The sequence below is a fragment of the Homo sapiens genome, chromosome 1 (genome assembly GCF_000001405.40).
Source record: "Homo sapiens chromosome 1, GRCh38.p14 Primary Assembly".
NCBI classification, from domain to species: domain Eukaryota; kingdom Metazoa; phylum Chordata; class Mammalia; order Primates; family Hominidae; genus Homo; species Homo sapiens.
In genome coordinates, this window is record NC_000001.11 from 22,775,804 (window position 1) to 22,797,627 (window position 21,824).

Here is a 21,824-nt window from a genome sequence, read left to right on the forward strand (position 1 = left end):
TGCTCTGGGCTGGTGGCCCTAGTTCCAGCTTTTGCCTGGATGCTAAGAATCTGTGTAGCCTCTTTCTTCATCTATCCATTGGGATTCTTTTAAATGGGCACTAAGAGCAGCCAAGGTCTGGGAACCGGACATTTCAACAGGGTGGGAGGGCCTAAGGGCAGGTGAAACGGCAAAGTTGGCAGAGTGGGAGGTGGGTGGTACCAGCGAGGCTGGCAAGGATGTGGGGAGACAGGGATGATCCAGCAGAGGGGCCTCAGAGAGCTGCTAACCGTTCATGGCCCTGTCCTGTGCTACCTGGGCAGCCCCTGCTTAACCCCTCCAGGCTCAGCTCTTAGCTCCCACCACTTCCAGCCCCACCCTTCAGCCAGCGCTTGATTCCCACAAACCCCGCTGTGGCTCAGCTCACCTCCTGGCCTTTGCCTCTGCTTCCCCTCTGCCTAGCGTGCCCCTCCCACTCCACATCAGTCACTCCCCACTCACCCAGTCTTTAAGCCTCCATGCAGGCGTCACGTTCTCCTGGAAGCCATCCCTAAATTTGGCATTTTCTTCCCCTCCTTCCGTATTCATTTCCTGTAACCTGCAATAAACCATGTACATCCTCATTGTGATCTTAGCCACATAGTGTGGTGATTAATTATCTGTGTACAGTGACAACAGCTTCCCCTGCAGGAGAGATTGTCACCGTCACAGTGGGGATGGAGATAGAAACATTTCCAGAGCTTCAGAGGCAGCTCGAGGGAGCCCAGCAGCTCCCAAAGTATGGGAAGTGAAATGATGTTCCGTACTTTGCAGACAAACATTTTTAATTGTAGTAGTCTGTGTTTATTTTCCTTCCTGTCATGGCAAGAGATATTGGTTTTCCATTTATAATCATGATTACGCTTTTTCCTCTTTAAGATGCATTTAAGAAAGAAAAGGAGTCAAGTGGAAGAAAAAGTAGTAACTAAATAATTGTACAGGTTGTAGTTGGAAATGGCTAAAGTCATTAATGTTGTCTGTATGAAAGGCTCAAGCCTGGCCAACCCTAGTGGAGCAGAACACTGGCGTATGCTCAAGTCTGGCAGATGGGGAGAGGAGGCCCGTGTGCCAAGCCCTGTGCTAGGTCTTAGGGATCCCAGGACCAGGACCCAGCACCACCTCTCAGGGGACCACAGAGCTTTGGGAGATGATAGCAAATAGGGGTAGTTACCACCCAGAATATCTTCAAGTGCCGGGATATCTCGAAGCACCCGTGGCTGCAGAGCTTTGGGGCAGAATGGATTTAAGAGGACTTGCTAGAGGAGGTGACCTGAGTCGAGACTTCACAGATGAACATTAGGGCAGGCCAAGAAGATGTAGAGGTGAGAAGGTCAGAAGGAACAGTATGTGTGAGGTACAAGGGTGAGAAAACACCACATTGTCTGTGCGGAGTGAGACGGCCAGTCTCTCCACCTACTCATAGCTAACTGGAGTGCAGCTTGAGGGTGGAATAGATGTGTGATCTTGGGCAAGTTCCTGGGGCTTTGGAAGCCTCAACTTTCTCATCTATGAAATGGGACAGTATCAAGTACCTCTTGGCATTGTTGTGAGAATGTTGGTGAGAGATTCTGGCTCCTAATAGGGTCTCAGCAGACGTGAGTTCTCTCCCTTTGTAGATTTTTGGGATTGGACGGGAGACGTCTGGTGTGTTACAGGGTGGAAAAAGGATGTGATGGTGGTGGAAACAGAGCTTGGTTTCCTGAACCCACTAAGTTCTTGAGGCAATAACTATTAACTCCAGATTCCCCAGAGAACAGAATTTGACTTTTGTGCTTAGTTTGAGAGGAACAAAGAGGAAACTCAGGGCACCCCAGGGAAAGCAGCATCAGATGGACTGGGACGGGCTCCATGGAGGCTGTAGCCACGGAGCAAGAGACTGATGCTTGTCAGATGTTGGCAGGCATATCTGGGAGGTGGGGGAGGCCAGGCAGACTAAGTTGGAGCCTCTTGGGCCTGCCTTTGCTTTCAGGGGCACCTAGTAAGCCCAAAGGAGGAAGCAGTATGTGCAGGCACTGGGTGGGCCAAAAAGCACTGCACACCATCTAAAAACAGCAGCTATTACTAAGTGAGGATCTACTTTGTGCTGGGCTCCAAGCTGCTATACTTCCAGACTCGGAAGGTATTTTGGCCATTTTCCAGGTGAGGAAACTGAGGCTTAACAAGAGGTAGAACAAATAAAGGTCCGTTTGTTTGTTTGTTTGTTTTGTTTTGTTTTGTCTTCTTAGACATAGTCTTGCTCTGTCGCCCAGGCTGGCGTGCAATGGTGCAATCTCAGCTCACTGCAACCTCTGCCTCCTGGGTTCAAGCAATTTTCATGCCTCAGCCTCCAGGGTAGCTGGGATTACAGGTGTGCATCACCATGCCTGACTAATTTTTGTATTTTTAGTAGAGACGGGGTTTGACCATGTTGGCCAGGCTTGTCTCGAACTCCTGACCTCAAGTGATCTCCCCCCCTCAAAAGGTCCATTTGTAATAGTCTGTGTTTATTTTCCTTCCTTTTATGGCAAGTGATATTGGTTACCAAGCAAGGAAGGGACAGAACTGGTGTTAGAATCCAGATCTCTGTTACCTCCAGAGCCCAGGTCTGTCTGCTCTGCTCATCTGCTCATTTGCCTTTTGTGCAGAGGTAGAGGGAGGGGTTAAAATTGAAAAGCAAAAGACCAGGTTGGGGAGAGAGCATGCTTGTGCTGCCTCCTGCCACAACCCAGAGGGGTGACAGGTTTCCCAGAGCCAGGCCTCCAGGCAAAGCCAGGAGTGGCACAGGAGAAGGGAGCAGAGGAGATGCCGGCCCTCTACCTCCTCCCAAGGGGATCTGCAAACTTCATGTCCTTTGCGTTCCCTTTGTGTCTGCAAACCAGCCAGCCCATTTACTTCCAGTCCTTCTGAGATCCTCCCACTGCTTTGGGCCACTGCTTTGGGCCAGGAGAGGTAGAAGACACAGGGGGACAGTGGGGCCCCCCACCCTAAGCTTCTTGGGAGCCCAGAGTATGAGCACCAACTTTTAGTGTGTGACTTTGGCAAGCCATTTGCCCTCCTTGAGCCCAAGTTTCCACCCGTACGATGAGGATGTCAGTTCCTGGCCCCTCCTTCTCTGGGCCATGGAATCCTCTAGTGTTTGGCCTCTGGGTCAGCCCAGGAATCTAGCCAAGGGATGGGGCCACCTGCTTGGCAGCCTTGCCTCCCCTGCCCGACCCTCTTCTTGTCCCAAGCACAGTCTCTCCTCTGCCTTGTTCGACACAGCTCCCAGCAGCTGTTCCCTGGGCCCAGGCAGAGAGCCCGGCTTGGCGCGTCTCTGGCTGAGGCCGATGAGAGAAAACAGGTTAAAAGTTCAGCCCTTGTTCTCTCCAGGAAGAAAAATCTGTAGCATTCGGAGTGTGAAAAGGAACCCTTTTTTCAGCTCCAAAGCTGCATAATAGAACTTCCCTCCAATTTGCCATCAAAAAGATGCCCTTGGCACTGGCTCTACCATCCCTGGCACCCTTACCCCACACCCCCTCCCTGTGCCAGCCCCCAGTGCAAAGGGACACAGTGACCACAGGCAGTCATGGGGATGCCAGTGCACAGGGACACAAGCCACAGGCAGTTGTGGGGACACTTCTGCATCCTCTCTTGTCAGCTCATGGGTCTGACTGGGGTCACCTCTGACCAAATGCTTCCTCCTGTCCCCACCCTTTATCCCCTCCACCCCTGCCATAGTTCAAACCCTAATTATCTGCCATTTGGACCTTCTCAGCTGCCTAGACACTGGGCACACAGCCCCAGTCTCCTGGTCCTTGTCATTTAGCCCAGACCATCAAACTAATTGTTTCAAGTGACTGAAAGTTTATAGGCTAGGAGGCAAGACACCTGCACTTCCCACTGTGTCACCAACTCCTATGCAATCTTTGGAAGCCCCTTCCCATCCCTGTGCTTCAGTTGCCCTGTCTCCAAAAGGAGGCGGTTGGGCTGGACCAGGGATAGCATCTCAAATGGTTCGTATTTGTTTCCTGGAACACTGTGGCAAGAAGCATCATGTGGCCACAGTATGGGGACTGATGAGTGATGCCTGCCCTGGGCACAGAATTGGAGCATGGCAACAAGCATACCTCTCACCCACTCTCACTGAGCAAGGTGGTGTCACTGTGACCTTCTAGGTCTCTCCCCCTACTCTCTCATAGCTATTTATATTCACACCTCATCTCCACTACCAGACCAGGAACTGCTCCATGGTAGGGTCTTGCTAGCCACGGTTTTCTCTCTCAGGGCACCCAGTGCAGCGCCTGGTACATAATGGGCATCAGGATATTTTGTTGAATGAACGCTTGAAAGGGGTCCATTTAAATTCATTCGGTGTATTGCAATTCCATTCAGAAAGTGTTTGGAAGCCAGAGAGGCAAGGAAAGGGTAGAGGACAGGGGTCCTGAACCTGACCTGGGGAGAATGGGGGTCTCTAGGGCCATGTGGCTCTTCTTCCCCCTAGGCCACATGGCTCCCTGCAGCTGCTGGAATCGGGGGAGGCAAGTGGGGCCCAGGATGGTCCAGGTGCTGACATGTCTCCTGAACCCCCACAGGCCATGTGACAGTTGGCCCCTACTGGGTGCAGTGCTTGCTCTCAACACTTCTCCACTCCTGGGACCCTGTCCTGGGGGCAGAGTTGCCTGAGCCCTGGGGGAGGGGCCCCAGTGATAGGAACATGATGGAAGGCTCCAGGTTTCTAGAGAAAGGGAGAGTGTCCTGACAAGATGTGTGCGCCAGAGGAGCAACGAGGGGAAACTGAGGGGTCTCAGCTGGGACACAAGCACAGCCCCTCTAAGGCCCAAGTTCGTTTTTGAGAGTTTGATGCAAGCTGAAAAGCAAACAGATCCCAGAGTTTGATGTAAAATATCAAGGGTTTAGTGGCAGAGCCTCGGAAACCCATCCAGTAGACTCCAGGTTTAGTGGATGTAAGACCCTCCTCGTCCAGAAAAGGAAGGGAAGGACAGTACCTAGGTTAGTGAGACTAGACTGGCCTAGAGGTAGAGCCTGACCATGATGTAAGGGTGGACTTGGCCTGGAGGGGCGGGGCCTAGAGGAGTGGCATCAGATGATTGGCTAGGCTGTGGGGGTAGGCGGGATAATGGAGTAGAGAGGCGGAGTCTAAACCGAGGGCAGTCTGGAGAGTTAGAGTCAGATGACTGGGGCAATGGAAGTAGGCGGGGCTCTCAGTAAAGAAGGATGAGGGCCCGGCCGTGAGGGTCTGGCCGGGCACGGTGGCTCACGCCTGTACTCCCAGCACTTTGGGAGGGCGAGGCGGGCGGATCACGAGGTCAGGAGATCGAGACCGTCCTGGCTAACACGGTGAAACCCTGTCTCTACTAAAAATACAAAAAATTAGCCGGGCGTGGTTGGAGGCGCCTGTAGTCCCAGCTACTCGGGAGGCTGAGGCAGGAGAATGGCCTGAACGTGGGAGGCGGAGCTTGCAGTGAGCCGAGATCACACCACTGCACTCCAGCCTGGGCGACAGAGCCAGACTCCGTCTAAAAAAAAAAAAAAAAAAGAAGAAGAAGGATGAGGGCCCAACAGAAAGATTGACAGCGCCTGGTAGGTGGGGCGGGGTGGTGACTCTTTGCTCTCCCCACAGAAACGCTAATGGACTCCACTACAGCGACTGCTGAGCTGGGCTGGATGGTGCATCCTCCATCAGGGGTGAGTCAGTGGTCCCCAAACCTTGCATTGGTCCCCAGGATCCCTCAAGCCCTGCTGCAGGGCCCGAATGCCCCCTCATATTCTAACCCCTTTCCCCCTCTTCAGGACCCAGAGCCAGGCCTCTCTCAGCCCCACCCTCCCAATCCCCTACCATTGATGGAGCCATGATCCCCTACCATTGATGGAGCCAGTTACCATGACAACAGGCTGGATGCTTTCAGCCTTTATCCCGTGGAATCCTTAGGGCAAGGCTGAGAAGTAGGTGCTCTCACTACCCCCGTTTTACAGATGAAGAAAGTGAACTGTCGTTTCCTGAGTACCCATTCTATGTCAGATACTGTATTAAGTACCTTTATACACATCATCTCTGATCCCATGGAGAGGAATTATCTCCATTTTACAGATGAGAAAACCGAGGCTCAGAAAGGTGTAGCCACCTGCCCAGGGCCCTATAGATAATAAGTGAAAGGGCTAAGGTTTGTATTCAGGACTATGACTGAGCTCTCTGCCCGCTTTCTGGGTCCCCATAACACAAAGCTCCCCCTCCTTTGGTTCTTATCATCCTAGGGTCTATGCTGTGAGCTCTCCAAGAGCAAAATCTGGCATAAGTTACAGACTGTGGGGTCAAATACTCCTGAAAATGTGTCTTAGCTCTGCCACTCACCAGCTGTGTGATTTGGGGCACTTCCTTAATCTCTCTGAGCTTCAGTTTCTTCATCTATAAAATGGTGATGATGTTTTAGACCTCACAAGACTGTTGCGAGGTTTTCCTGCAAAGTGTCTAACACAATGCCTGGCATAGATTGGGCTCCCAGTCAAGAGTAGCTATAATCATCATCATCATTGTCATTGTCATGAAGTTGAATATTCATCCCTCATCCCCGCCGTCTCTGGACTCTATAACCCAGCCCTTCCCTTCCCCCCACCCCAGTTCCTCCGCTGGGACTCAGCTGCTGCCCCAGGGAACTGCATTCCCCCCACCCCCCAGGCCTGTGCTCTCAATAGGCAGGGCCCCAGGGTCAGGCCGCTTTCTGTGGCTCTTTCTTGTCACCAATTTTCCATCTGCGAAGGCGGCTGGGCCCACAGCCCCACCTTGCCAGTAATGAGGCCAGGCTGGGCTGCAGGGCCCCCGGACGCAATTATTTGGGGTGTTTAGGCTGCAGGGCCTCCGCATGTTAATTAGAGAGAGGGGAGAAAGGCAGAGTGCTCTAATTAAGTGTTCTAATTAAGTTCTGAAGAAGAGCAGCGGTTGTAACAAGGGGCTGACTTTGTCACATGGTGCCACCAAAAAGAAAAAAAAAAATTAATGCAATGTAGGGAGCTTCAGAGTCGCCATTGAAGAAGAGGCTGAGCCAGTCAGCTCCAGACCTGCCCTCCCCATGTGTACTCACCCTTCATCGCACCTGACCCTCCCCAGGCTGCCAGCCCCTGCTCCACACGCACAGACTTGGCCCAGGGAATCTGAGTGGCACAGGATAAAGGACACCCACTTGAGGGTGACACCTCTTCCATCAGCTGCCACCCCCACAGTCACATTTGGCAACTGGAGGCCCAGGAGGGAGAAATGACTTGCCCAAGGCCACTCATCAAGTTAGTAGAGCTGGGACTAGAACCCAGGACTCCTAGGGCACACTTGGTGTCCTTGTGTTTCCAGGCAGCACAGGCAACCACACGAACAGCTCTGGGTCTGTGTGACCTGGGTCAAATGACCTCACTTCTAGTCTCTACTCCCTCATCCTCTGTAAAAGGGGTCTAACCATACAGACCATGTGCGATAATCACACCAAAGAAATGAGATCCTGTTAGGGTGCCCATCCCCAGACATGGATAGGAGAGGGGACTCTGCTGTTGGGGCTCCTTTGGGTCTACCCCAGGTGAAGCCAGCCAACACCAAAGGGGGCACGGGAGAAGGACAGGAGGGGTGGTTTCCCTCAGCAAGCTCTCAGTCCCACTGACACTGGCCCAAGAGGGCTGAGTGTACTGGGCACTCACGCAGGGAGATTGTTCCCGAAGGCCCTCGGGAAAGTTGGTGAATGCAAACAGCAGGCAGCCAGAGAGCCTGCTGCAGAGGAGACCAGAGACGATGCCCCAGGAGGGCACAGAAGTGTGCAAAAGACTCAGCAGTGGGAAGGAGCCTGGTCCGTGAGTGTGAGGAGATAACCCGGGCCCTAGGCCCTTCCTGCCCCAACTTTCCACCACCTGGCCCAGCCCCTTGCAGCGGTGAGGCTTAGCATCTCTCTGCTGGGTTTGTGAGAGCCCAGACTGCCCCAGTGAGGGTACAGGAGTACTCTCCCCAGGCAGGAAGGGTGGGCGGCCTCCCTCCAGGTACCCAAGAGGAAATGTTAGCAGCTGAAAGCCCCAGAGCAGAGCTGTTCTCATGGGGAAGGACCCTGTCTTCCCCATCATCCTAGGCGTTCATTGAGGATGAGGACTGTCTTCCTCCATCAGACCGAGAGTTCCCAAGGGCAAGGGCTGTCTCTCCCTGGTCAGACAGGGAGCTCCCCGAGGGCAGAGGTCCTGTCTCCTCCATCAGACTGGTAGCCCCCACAACCACAAAGCTATGTCTACTTTCATCAGAAGGAGCTCCCTAAGTGGGGAAGGGTTCTCCCTATTTTCCCCTTCCAGGTGGGAACTTCCTGGCCAGGGTCCCTGTCTCCTTTATCAGATTAGTGTACCCCTGACAGTAAGGGCAATGTCTCCCCTGTCAGCTAGCAGAATACCAAGAGCAGGATGTGTGCCTTTCCCACCTGATTGGCATGTCTCCCCCATCAGATTGGGAATTCTCTGATGTCTTCACCATTAGACTGGAGGGTTCCCTAAGGCAGAGTCTGTGTCTTCCACCTTAGACTGAGTGTGTGCTGGGGCTGAGCCCTTACCTCCCCACCTGACGAGCATTTTACCCACAGTGGGAAGAGGTGAGTGGCTACGATGAGAACATGAACACGATCCGCACGTACCAGGTGTGCAACGTGTTTGAGTCAAGCCAGAACAACTGGCTACGGACCAAGTTTATCCGGCGCCGTGGCGCCCACCGCATCCACGTGGAGATGAAGTTTTCGGTGCGTGACTGCAGCAGCATCCCCAGCGTGCCTGGCTCCTGCAAGGAGACCTTCAACCTCTATTACTATGAGGCTGACTTTGACTCGGCCACCAAGACCTTCCCCAACTGGATGGAGAATCCATGGGTGAAGGTGGATACCATTGCAGCCGACGAGAGCTTCTCCCAGGTGGACCTGGGTGGCCGCGTCATGAAAATCAACACCGAGGTGCGGAGCTTCGGACCTGTGTCCCGCAGCGGCTTCTACCTGGCCTTCCAGGACTATGGCGGCTGCATGTCCCTCATCGCCGTGCGTGTCTTCTACCGCAAGTGCCCCCGCATCATCCAGAATGGCGCCATCTTCCAGGAAACCCTGTCGGGGGCTGAGAGCACATCGCTGGTGGCTGCCCGGGGCAGCTGCATCGCCAATGCGGAAGAGGTGGATGTACCCATCAAGCTCTACTGTAACGGGGACGGCGAGTGGCTGGTGCCCATCGGGCGCTGCATGTGCAAAGCAGGCTTCGAGGCCGTTGAGAATGGCACCGTCTGCCGAGGTAAGGGCCAGGGTGGGGCACGTGCCCCTGCAAATGCATAGAACTGGTCTTGGCTGCAGACTCGGGCTGCAGACTTGGGCCTGGCCTCTGAAGCTTAGAGCTGACCATGAGGCACTCTAGGGCCAGGGTTTCCAAACCAGCAACCATCGTTCAGCTTCTTAGAGGGAGGCACTTGAATATAGCACTTTCTGAAAACGATCCGCGCACATGCCGCAGGTGGTATACCAGATAATCTGGGTTGGCACAGGATAAAGGTTTTTTGTTTACATCATCATATGAGTATGTCAAGTGGTGTCAATTTCTTCCTTTACAAAGGTGATATGGTTCCCCTTTTAAGAAAACGTATGTTATAGTAAGTAACATTTATATATTAATAAGTTAACATATTTTGAGCTTTTACTCTGTCAGTATAGACCAGACAATGCTGAAGTGACCAAACAATAAAAGTTTATTTCTCCCCTTAATGCTCCATGTCCATTGTGGATCAGCTTGGGACTCCTCCCTCTGAGAGCCAAATGGATGGAGCACCACCATTCGGGATGTTGCCATCTGCAGGGCAGACAGATGGAAGGAGTGTGGCAGTTGGAATACTGGCTTTAAAGCTTCCACCTGGAATGCGCCCCCGCCATAACCTCTGTGCACATTTCACGGGCCAAAGCAAGTCACAAGGTTACTTCCTATTCAAAGAGATGGAGAAGTGCAATTTTACTGTGAGCCAGGCCCACGACTCCCCCTTGTACTATGTGCTGAGCACTTCTATGACTTAATTCATTTAATCCTCACAAGGACCCTGTGACAGAAAGTACTGTTGTATATGAAGAAGCTGAGGCTCAGAGAGCTTAAACAGGGACTAAGTAGAGGATCTGGGATTCCAAAGCCCACCCTCTTAACCACCATGCCACACTGTTAGCTTAAGGAAAACTATTAAGTAAGTATAAGTGGTGTTTGAATATGGTAAAGAACCATGAAGGTGGTCTGCAAACAAGCTTTGCAAACACGAGAAGTTTGTGAGAGGTACACCCTGGTGCTAAGAAGGCTGTGAAGGTTGAAGGACCTGGGTTAAATCACCCCTTCCACTCACTAGCGGTATCACCTTGGCCAAGTGTAAAACCCTCCTTCCTAGGCTGGTGTGAGGAGTCAGGAACTTGAGGCATGCAAAGTACTTGTAATGGTTTCCAGTACACAGGAAGTGCTTAATAGATGTTAACTAAATGAGATGATGTGTACAAAGCCCAGATGCTCAGCCTGTGAGCTGCAATGGTGGTGCTGGGGGTATAGGGGACTTGAAGCTACTTGTGTCATGTCCTCTTGCATTCCCCATTGGATTCAGAGGTTGGGGCCAGATCCTGGGGTGCCTCAGATGCCAGGTTAAAGGTTTGGACCCTAATCCAGTGGCCTTGGAGAAGGCCAGGGATACTTTAGCCTGGGGGTGGTTGCAGTGATCCTTACGTGATAAAATGCTTGTTAAATCTACCAGCTCTGTGCTTCCTCCCTCGGAGACAAGCAAGGCAGCTTTTCAAGATACCTAGAAGGACAGATGGGGGTGCCAGAGACAGGAGGAAGGGGCCTATAAGGGAACCATTGTTTTCATCTCAAGAGACAGCCTGGAGTGGGGCATCCACCTGTGCTGGGGAAGAGGAGAGGCGAGATCAAAGGATGTTTTGCCAATGAAAGGGATAGGATGGGAAGGAAGACAGGATGGAAAGGGAGGAGAGGTAAGAGTCACAGGGAACAGGGCATTCCAGCTTGCAGAAAGGTGATGGTTCTAGAAAAGAAATGGGCAAGTTAGGAGAAAGGGCTGGTTTCTTGGGGAAGATAACAAATTTGGTTTTACGTCCTTGGGTATAAAAGTGCACAGCCTTGGAAGGTGGCAGTGGTGAGACAGTGTGTGGGTGGCAGAACAAGTGAATGGGAAACCAGCCACTCACTGTTGATGGTTTGTTCAGTCATCAAACTTTTACTGAGCCTGCTCTGTGTTAGACCTTATGTTGAGCATCAGGCAGTACAGAGAAGAATCAGACTGTGGCTCTGCCTTCTGGAGCTCAGAGTCTAGCAAGGGAGACAGACAAATAAATGTACAAAGGTGGTGATGTGTTAGACTTGTTTTAATAGGAACTGCTCAGGCTACAGTGGGCGCAGAAAATGACAGAAGGCTTCACAGAGGAGGTGACATTGGAGCTGAGTCTTGGGTGGGTGGCCCAGGAATGCTGGAGGATGGAGCTGCATGAATAAAGGCCTGGGAACATGAATCAACTTGGCCCATTAGGGAGGCAGTTTTGGTATGGCCATGGCTAAGGGCTGGAGGAGGGATGTAGGAAGAACTGTGACAGGCGGGGTGTTCAGATGAGAAGGTATATTCATTACCTATTGCTGCATAAAAAACAACCAACAGATCAGGTATGGTGGCTCATGCCTGTAATCCTAGCACTTTGGGAGGCTGAGGCAGGAAGATTGCTTGAGCCCAGGAGTTTCAGACCAACCTGGGCAACATAGTGAGACCCTGTCTCTACAAAGAAAGAAAAAGAAAAAAATTAGCCAGGTGTGGTGATGTGCATCTGTAGTTCCAGCTACTTAGGAGGCTGAGGTGGGAGGATCGCTTGAGGCTGTAGTGGGCTATGATTATGCCACTGCACTCCAGCCTGGGTGACAGAGCAAGACCCTGTCTCTAAACAACAACAAACATGCATTATCTCATAGTTTCTGAGGGTCAGGAATCCAGGTGTGGTTTAGCTGGGTTCTTCTGGCTCAGATTTTCCCATGAGGTTGCACTCAAGGTGTGGCCTGGGGCTGCAGTTTCTTCTGAAGGCTGGACCAGGGAGGGGTCTGCTTTTAAGGTCACTCACGGGGTTGTTGGCAGGACTCTGTCCCTCACCACATGGGCCTCTTGCATGTGCAGTGACATTCCCCAGAGTGAGAGAGCCAAGAGAGAATACCAGCAAACACCCAAGACAGAAGCCACAATCTTTTATAACCTAATCCAGAAGTGACATCTTGCCACTTCTGCCATATTCTCTGCATTAAAAGCAAGTCACCCAATTCAGCCCATACCCCAGGGGAGGGAATTACACAGGGTGTGAATGCCAGGAGGTGGGATCATGGGGCCATGTTAGAGGCTGCCTGGCATAGGCAGGTTCTCAGAGTCAGAGCTACTCCTTGCAGATGGTGAGGGTGCAAGGTGGGGCAGGGTTAAGGTGTGCCCAGCCCTGGCTCCCTTCCAGGCTCCCTTCCACTCTCATCTTCCCCTGGACCTGAAAGCCTCCCCAAGGCCTCAGCCCAGCCCAGCCATCCACTGAGTGTGAGTGGGGTCCAGTCAGGGTGTGATTAATGAGCTCAGGGAGCCCAGAAGGACACCAGCTGTTGCTGTGGCCTGTGCTGCTGTCACCCAGATGTGAGGCTGCTGCAGCCCAAGCCCCATAGGCACTGGCCCTGCTGGAGCAGGACGTGCAGGAATGGTGATTCCAGCTCACATCCAAGTAACATTGGCCAAGTGCTTTCTCGTCCTCTAGCTTAGGGCTTCTCAACCTTTATTGTGGATCAGAGTCACCTGGTTAGTTGGTTAAAGTGCAGGTTTCTGGGTCTGACTCAAACCTCTCCCCCAGGTCTGGGAATGTGGCTCTGAGATGGGGCCAAGAATCAGCAGGGTTTATTTTGTTTTGTTTTTTTGTCTTTTGTTTTTGTTTTTTTTTTTTTTTTTTTGTGACAGGGTCTCACTTTATCACTCAGGCTGGAGCGTAGTGGTGCAGTCTCAACTCACTGCAAGCTCTGCCTCCTGGGTTCAAGCAATTCTTGTGCCTCAGCCTCCTGAGTAGCTGGGATTACAGGCGTGCACCATCATGCCCAGCTAATTTTTGTATTTTTAGTAGAGATGGGGTTTCACCATGTTGACCAGGCTGGTCTCGAACTCCTGGACTCAAGTGATCCACCTGCCTTAGCCTCCCTAAAGCTGGGATTACAGGCATGAGCCACCGTGCCCAGCTGGAATCAGCATTTTTAAACAAGCAGTCCTGATGATTCTGTACCAGGACCATGAGCTCAGACGCACGATGTGATAACACATGTTTGGCTGGACCAAGCTGGGACCTAAGGCCAAAGAAAGGACACTAGCCCAGCCCCAACACCACCCCAGGGATTGTCCTCCCTGGGGCAGTGGAACATTAGCAGAATCTCTAAGAGGATGTGGTTTGAAAAGATGCATTTAATATTGAGATATAATTTAATAGGAAAACATCCATTGCTTTGTTAATATAAATTAGAGAAAATAAGGCTGGATTAAGTCTTCTTGGCAGATGGAGAGTGGGGGAGTCCTCAGAGGGAGTGGCCACCATTCCTGGTGTGGGCAGTGATGGTGAACAAAGGCTTACTAGTTCCCAGTGCAGTGAGTGGGCTAAACTGATTCAATCTGACCAACTTCTCTGGTGCCTACTGTGTACAGGGCACAGCGGGAGAGGGGAGGGGCCTGGGGAAGCCAACCATTCAACATGCATGTTTTGAGTAACCTCTGTGGGTCATTTAGCCCTCTAACAAATATGCGTTGCATACCTGCTGTGAGCCAGACACATTCCAGGTGCAGGGAGATACGGAAATGAACAAGACGGACACATCAGTGCCCTCCCAGAGTTTTTTGTCTGAGTGGGTGGATAGGAGAAGACAGAAGAAAAAGTCAGTGAGCAAATAAATAAACTAGTTGCAGAATGTGATGAGTGAAGGGGGAAAGAATTGTGCAACAATAGAGATCAAAAAGTGGCCGTGCTTCAGGAAGGGCTTCCTGGAAGAGGTATCATTGAGCTGATGGGCCTGAGAAGGCTGTGGGGAAAGCATTCCAGGCAGAGGGTCCCTGAGAAACCCTGACACTCAGGGCTTGGTCTGAAGTGGCTCCTGGGTGAGCAGGGGACTCAGACACCCAGGGAACGAGGCAGAGTATGGTGCTGCCACAAATGAGATCCATCCAGGCAAAGTGCTTTGAGAATATGAGGAAAAAGCCATCTTGTATGACTGGGTATCTCAGAAGGCTTCAAGGAGGGAGTAGCATTTGAATTAGGCCTTGAAGAGTGAGTAGGATTTGGATGGGTGAAGGTAGGGAGGAAGGGAATTGTAGGCAGAGAGAACTATACGAATAAAGGCCCCAAGGTGTGACAGTACAAGGCATATTTGATGGGTAGAAAGGGCTTTGCAGTGTATAGGGATTAGGACACAATTTTCCCCTATTTATTCACCTGTTCATTTTTTATCGCATGCCTAATCGGGGTCTACACTGGGCATACAGCTGCCAGGTGAGGATTCCTGGGACTTCCTTTAGAAGAGCCCTGTTCCCTCCCCAACCCCAGTCCCCGCTGGGGCTTCCTGCCAGCAGGTCTGCTGGGAGTGGCAGAAGGTGTCCCTGGAATGCCTTCTTTGCAGCAGCTGCCCGCACCCAAGTCTGTTTCTCTGACTCTTTCTAGAGTATGATAGGTGTGATTGTGAATGTTCCCCTGCCCCAGTTTCTCCAAGCCTGCCTGTCTCCAGATCCCTGTTCTCCTTGGTCTCTCCTTACCCACCTCAGTCCCACTTCTGCCTGCCCAGCAGGAACCCCCAACCTAGCCTTCTTTGGGGACCTTGCTCTGTTCTCTCCCAGTGGCCAACCCGCATCTGCGAGGGATCTGGAGGCAGTTCCGCAGTGAGCATGATTGCTGCGATGCTATCGGACGTAATGGGATTTTTAATATTTAGCTTGGATGGGGAGAGGGGCTGCTAGCCAGCTCGGGGTGGTTGCACGCACATGTTGATTCGCTGGCTCCAGCTCAGACTCCCCAGTTCCCAGCTGCTGGGTTTCTCCTCCCAGCCTCTCCCTCTTGTCTGCCCTGCCCTGCTGTGCAGCCCCTGCTCTCTCCCCAGCTCATGGCCTCTCCTTGACCTTGGCTTCAGAGACCTGCTTTCAAACCCCAGCCCTACCTCTCACTAGCTGTGTGACCTTGGGTGAGCCACTGACCCTCTCCCAACCTTTGTTTTCTCATCTGCAAAACAGAATAAACAGAGGGCTGTTATACAGAGTAAATGAGAAAATACCCAGAAGAGTGTTATAAAAATAAGATTAAGGACTTTTATGAACACTGTCTTTGCCTGTGAACTTTTTTTTTTTCCTGGTGAGCTTTTTATTTTGAGGAAAAAATAACTTTTCCTTATCACAAAAGCAATGCAGGTTATTTGTAGAATCTTTAGAAATTACTGATAAGCAAAAAGGAAGAAATTAAAATCACCCATAATCCTATCATCCAGAAATAAGCACTGTGAAACAAACTGGTATAGGTTCTTCCAGGTGGATTTATGTGTATTTACACATACTGATTTTTTGTTTTAAGAAAAAAATGGACTTCTGCTTAAATTACATGGGTTTCTTTCTTTCTTTCTTTCTTTCTTTCTTTTTTTTTTTTTTTTTTTCCTTTCAGAGAGACAGGATCTCACTATGTTGTCCAGGCTGGTCTTGAACTCGTGGCCACAAATGATCCTCCCACCTCAGCCTCCCAAAGTGTTGGAATTATAGGCATGAACCACCATGCCCAGGAGGAGAATTTTTGATAATAATATTTTGTGGACATCTTTGCATATCATGTCAGAGCTATAACATCATTGTGGAGAAGCTCTTAGGATCCCATAGAATAAATGTACCGTAATTTATTTACTACTGCTCTGTTGATTGACAGATAGATTGCTTGCAGTATTTCACTATCTTAAACAAATGCTGGGGTGAGCCTCATTGTTTCTCTGTCTTTTTGCATTGCTGCTGATATTTGCGTAGGATACATTTCTAGGCGTGGAATTGTAGGGTCAAAGGGCATGTACTTTTTTTAGAGCTTTTGACAAACATTGCCAAATTACCCTCCAGAAAGGCTGGACCAAGTTACCCTCCAAGCAGCTGCCTTTGAGAGTGCCTGTTTGCTGGCATGCTCTCCAGCATGGGATGTTATGCCTGTGGCTTTATTTTCTGTTTCACTCCAGAATCCTGTGCTTCCCAGCCAAGGGAGGGAGGGGCCAGGGGTCCTTTCTGGGCCTTCAGAGTTGGATCCTCCTTCCCACCCTGCTTTCAGCTCGAGCCCTTCTTACAGAGGCTGGACCAGTGGCCCAGAAGTGTCTGGGGGAGTCTGCGGGGGTGGGGTGCGGTCAATGGGGTGGGCTCTGGGAGGGAGGCCGCCAGCTGGCAGCCTGTGCTATGCTGACTGGGGAAGGGTGTGAGGGTTGGAATGCTGGGTGGGAGGGGAGGCCCAGACCCCCACATAGAAATTCTGCTGCTTCTCTTCAAGGACAGGGTGGAGACACCCAGTTGAGGGAGAAGGAGGGGGGACAGACAACTCCTGCAGACCCCCAGGCTCAGGCCAGGGCTGAGACCACACAGGCCAGCCTTTTGTGAAGGGAATTAGATAGGGACCCTGGCCAATGTACTCAAGTGATTCAGGCCTTTGCTCTTAAAAATAGGAAAAATTCTACACCCTCCCCAACTTCCCCTTTCCTATCCATCCATTGGTCCATCCATCCATCCATCCATCCATCCATCTGTCCATGATACATCCATCCATCAGACATCCACTGAAATCATTCAGCTCTTGATTTTTCTTCTTCTTGGAGGGCTCAGTGATGTCTTCATTGAGGACCAGGAAGCTAACACTTGTTGAGTGTCATGTGCCAGGCATTAGGGGGCCTTGGAAATGGCCATGATGACCCCTGCCCCCAAGGCCCACCCAGCCTAGAGATGGTGACAGATACATCTACAGACAGTGAAGGTGCAGGGGGACTGGGGTTGTGCTGAGGAAAGCAGAGCAGGCAGGGAGGGTCTGTGGAAGCTGACGGAGGCACCCAGCCCATCCAGGGGAGCGTCAGCCAGGAACAGGCGGTCAGAGGACGGCCTCCAGGAGGAGGGGCCACTGCGGTGGAAGCTGAGCGAGGAGCAAGAGTTAGGCAGGTGAGGAGGAGGTGGAAAGGCCTGGAGGCAGCCAGAGTGCATGCTCCTGGGAAGGGTGGGGGTCAGTCACCTCAGTCCTCTCTCCTCTCTGAGTCAGCTAAATGGAAGGTTCTGGATCTCAGGACATGAGATGATTCTTTCTCTCTGGTCTTCAAATTCCTAGTGATCTGGGTAGGAAATATGGGACAATTTGGGCTTCAGAACAGCTCATTCATTTTTCACTCAAATACCACTTCCAGGACACCTGCTGTGTACCAGTTCCTAGGCCAGGTGTGGGAGCTGCCCAGATGCTGAAGGCCCTCCGTACCGTCCCTCGGGCTGCCAGTCTAGGGCGCAGGAGAGAGCTCTATCCATAACTACAGACTTGGGGTGCTTAGGAGGGAATGGGGAGAGAGCCAAGAAGGCTTCCTGGAGGAGGAGCCATTTTCCCAGGGCTTTGGAGGATGAGAAGAACCAAGGGCTGAAAGGGCAATTAGTCCAGGAAAAAAATGGTTGGAAATGGTGGTGGTTTTTTTCTTTTTAAACCCTAGCCTCTTGCTTATCCCCAGACAAGGTGCAGCCATCCAGGGAAGAGCAGAAGAAAGGTGTTCTTGGCCAAGGGAGGATGGTGGAAGTGCTGCCAGGGTTTCAGTTCTACTGCCCTCGCAGGCTGAGGGTAGTCCTGAGAGGCCTGGAGGAGGCCCGAGACAGGGAGGTGAAAGGTGCCACCTGTGTGTCCCGCACTGTGGTATATGCTATGCTTCCATTATCTTATTGAAACTTCTGTTGGTATTATTAGCTCTATTTTACAAATGATGAGACTGAGGCCCAGAGAGGGTCATCAAGCTGCCCAAGGCCACACAGCCACTAAGTAGCCAAGCTAGAATTTGAACCTGGCTTTCTGCAGCTTGCTGGGACAACTTATTAACCTGAAGAGATTAATAAGTTGTCCAGATGTACTCACCTTTTATACCTGAATGTACTCACCTTTTATACCTGAGGCCCATGTCTTATCCACATGGTCATTGAGTCCCAATCCTGTAGACCCTATGGAGAGTGACCAGCAGGGTGTGATAGAAAGAACCTCAGTTTGCTTACCTGGGAAATGGAAACATTACACCCTGGCCTGCCTACCTCCAGATGACGGAGGATCCCCTGAGATGGTGGAAGTGAAAAGAGCTTGGCAGATAACCGGCTAAGGGGCTCATGTTTAGGACTGTGGGACCTCAAAGGAAAGAGGGGGCTGACCCTACTGGGGTAACCAGGAGGGCTTCTTGGGAGAGGAGGAGACCCGGGTCTGGGCCTTGAATGACGAGGTGCTTTCCTATCAAGCGATGCAAGGCAGGATGGAACACAGTCCCAGGACGAAGGCTCGGGAATAAGGAAGCCTCAGGGAAGGAGGCTTCCCCACCCTGGCTGACCTCTGGCCAGAGAGAAAAGCCCCCAGTCTGTCCCACACCGCACATACCAAATGCTCACCCGGATGGGCCGTTCCTGCCCAGTCACCTCCTTGAATCCTCTCATCAGACTAGGAAACTGAGACTTGGCCAATGTCACACCCCTCTTAGGTGGCAGGGACAGGTCTATGCCTTTGTGCCTTCCACTTCTGATTTCTTCTGATACAAGCAGTATCCACTGGCCCTCAGTCACCCTACAGGGTTAGATAAGGTCATCCCTATTTCACAGAAGAGGAAATTGAGGGGAAAAGTCCAAGATGACCCAGCTAGGAAGAAGTAGGGTTAGAACCCAGGGCATCTGACCCTGGAGCCCTGCACTGTCCTCTCTCGGCCCCAGACTGGCTCATCTGGACCCTGAAAACACATAGGCTGCCTCCAGATCACTCCAGCAGGACCATAAACAGCTGGGAAGTTCCCCGCCCTCCAGCCACTGCCTTTTCATCTGGCTGGGCTTTAGAATCTGGCAAGAGAGGCCCGTTGATTGAGGAAGTTTATGCATTTAACAGTTTAAGCCTTTCTAAGCCTCTGGTACAACAGGATTTGGGAGCTGTTAACAATTCTGTGTGGTTAAGAGCTTTTCATTGCTCTGCGGCAGCTGGCACAGGCCCCACTGGCCCACTCTGGCCTCACCCCACCCTGTTTGGGCACCCCCGTCCCTGGGGCCTGTTATCCTCACTCCCCCCACCCTAAGCCCTACACCTCATACCTCACAAGAGGAACCGAGGCCCAGAGAGGGGAAGAAAGTTACCCAAGGCTGCATGGCAAGTGAGAGACTTAAACCAAGACCTGCCTGAGTCCCTGGAGAGGAGGGAACATTCTATTGTTAATTCTTTATTGGCAGAACTTGCAGAGCCTCCCTAAAATCAACATCTGTTTGATTCCCTACCAGGGCTCCAAGGCAGGGAGTCGGAGGTGGCTCGCCCAGGCTCACTCACCTTATCAGGTACATACGGAGCTGAAATCAAAACTCAGGCCTCCTGAAATCCTAATGAGAATTCTTCACGCCATACTGAACTGGTTTCCGTTTTGTTTTGTTTTGTTTTGTTTTGTTTTGCCCCCATAGCTTGGTGGGAGAAATGCCATTTGTAATGATAATGTCTTACATATGTACAGTATTTATTTACTTACACCCTGCTTTATTCCAGAAAAGATTGGAGGCTGCTTTTGTGTAACATTCGGATTCACTCCATGAGATATTTTGATCTAAATGATACCCACATGAGAGAAGCATGGCAAAGGTTATTGGCACCATTCTAGAGACAAGGAAAACTGAGGACACGAGGAGGCATGACTTTCTCAGCGTCCCATATACTTTGTCAGGCAGAAGCCGGGACTAGAACCCAGTGCTGCAGGCTCCTAGACCTGGCTCTTTCTGGAGCCCCTTGTCATCTCTAAGATGTCCAATCAGACAGCTCCCCCCGCCGGGGGAGGTTTTCCGGGACCTGTTACCATCCCGCCAACCCATCCACACACTCCTCTTCACACGAGCCACGTGTTCTCAGGTCTGTGAGGAGCTCACACTGAGGCTGGCCTGCCTCTTCCCACCCAGGGCAGAGACCAAGGTCTCAGGGGAGCCCAGGGGTCTCACTCCTGCTAAGGTGGAAGTGGGTGCAACAAGTATTTATTGAGCACCTTCTGTGAGCTCAGCACCATCCTAGAACCTGGAAATACAGTGGTGAACAAAACAGACAAAATAGCTGCTCTTTTGGACCCCACACTCCACCTGGGAAAGACAGGCAGTTGGGGAATACAGTGGGAAATACACAGTATGTCAGGCGGTGATTAGGACGACGGGGAGAAACAAATCAGGGAAGGGGATGGGCTGCGTAGCCCCCATGGCTGGGGGGCCAGGGGTTATCCTGCGGGGTGGGCTGGCCTGGGACTGCTGCTCTTGCTGGTATCCTGGGCTTTCTGCTCCTTCCTCGGGCCTTCCCAGTCTCTTCCCATGGGACCTGGTGGAGGTTGGTTTAAGTTACTGTTTTCATAACGAGGATTTTGTTTTCTGGTCACAGTAACCTGCTTGCCCAATGAGACAACAGGCCAAGGAGAGGGCTGTGAGTGCACGGCCATTTCCATCTCACTTGCAATCCGTGAGCTTTGTCTCCTGTCCTCTCTGTCCCCCCCATCCCCCAAACAAAGGGGGCCAAGGCCACAGCTTGCCAGCTTCACAGCTGTAAAAACTGAGGCCCAAGAAGTTAGATGAAATGACTTGTCTGGGGACCGGCACTCAAACTCAGGGTCTGACGCCTGACTCTGTGCCTCTTGCTGGAATCTACTTGTAAGTAACAGAATAAGAATACCCGGAGGAGGCAGGCACAGGCTCTTATCAATTGGGTGCTCACTCTGTGCCAGGCTGCTGCCTTGAGCTTGGTGAACACTCTGCTGAATCCTTACAGTCCCCAGAAGCTGGGTACAACTATTGCAGAACAGGAAGCAGAAGTTCAGAGAGGTTAAATAACCAAGCCAAGGTCACACAGCTAATGGACAGAGGAGCCAGAAGTGAAATCCAAAGCCTGTACTTGTCCTGCTGGAATATTCGCAGTGTCTCATCATTAGTACATTTTTTTCATGACTGTTATCTCATTGGATTCTCAAGGACTCTAGGAAGTAAAAGGGCTATTGTCCCCATTCTTCAGATGAGGAAATCTTAGCATGGTGAAGTGACCTGCCCAAGGCTTACTGCTAGAAAGGGTCAGAGCTGGGACTGGAACGGGGGTCACCGGGTTGGTTTGATTCTGAAGCCCCCTTGCTGCTGACTCCCGTTCCTAGGGCTCATGAACACATTGATATCAGACATTCGTCCCCTTCATTCCACTAAAACAGCTCATCATCGAGGCCTCCAGTGATGTCCATGTTGCCAAGTCAGTGGGAGACATGGACGTAATGTCCCAGACCTCATCTTCTTCGACCTGCCAGCAGCATCTGACAAAGTGACTGCTCCCTCTTCTGGGACCTCACTGGCTCCCAGGGTCCCACCCCCCTCCACCTCTCGCTCTGAGCCCTTTGTGGCTAGTTCCTGTTCATCTCCCGACCTCTCCACCTTGGAGGGCCCCAGTGCTGTGTCCTTGGCCTCCTCTTCTCTCTCCCTGATGACTCCACCCAGCCCCACAGCTTCAAATGCCTTCTCTGGGCTGATCTCTAGCCCAGACCTCTATTCTGAAGTCCAGACTCACTCCACTGTCTCC

At 51.6% G+C, this 21,824-nt stretch overlaps 1 protein-coding gene across 7 annotated transcripts in view, besides 2 other annotated features; it reads left to right on the plus strand.

Moving 5' to 3' along the window:
• Positions 1-21,824, plus strand: part of EPHB2 (EPH receptor B2) — a 210,663-nt gene that overhangs the window by 64,966 nt on the left and 123,873 nt on the right. For all 7 annotated transcript variants that reach the window (NM_004442.7, XM_006710442.5, XM_047449104.1 and 4 more), the window contains 2 exon segments: positions 5,618-5,682; positions 8,589-9,273. In NM_004442.7, the coding sequence (NP_004433.2) occupies positions 5,618-5,682; positions 8,589-9,273 (750 nt within the window).
• Positions 14,977-15,477: an enhancer, noted in NCBI's record as "H3K4me1 hESC enhancer chr1:23117273-23117773 (GRCh37/hg19 assembly coordinates)". NCBI's record gives its function as "activates a minimal SCP1, AML or CMV promoter by ChIP-STARR-seq in primed H9 embryonic stem cells {active_cell/tissue: H9 hESC(primed)}" and the evidence as "EXISTENCE:reporter gene assay evidence [ECO:0000049][PMID:30033119]".
• Positions 16,663-17,192: an enhancer, noted in NCBI's record as "H3K4me1 hESC enhancer chr1:23118959-23119488 (GRCh37/hg19 assembly coordinates)". NCBI's record gives its function as "activates a minimal SCP1, AML or CMV promoter by ChIP-STARR-seq in naive H9 embryonic stem cells {active_cell/tissue: H9 hESC(naive)}" and the evidence as "EXISTENCE:reporter gene assay evidence [ECO:0000049][PMID:30033119]".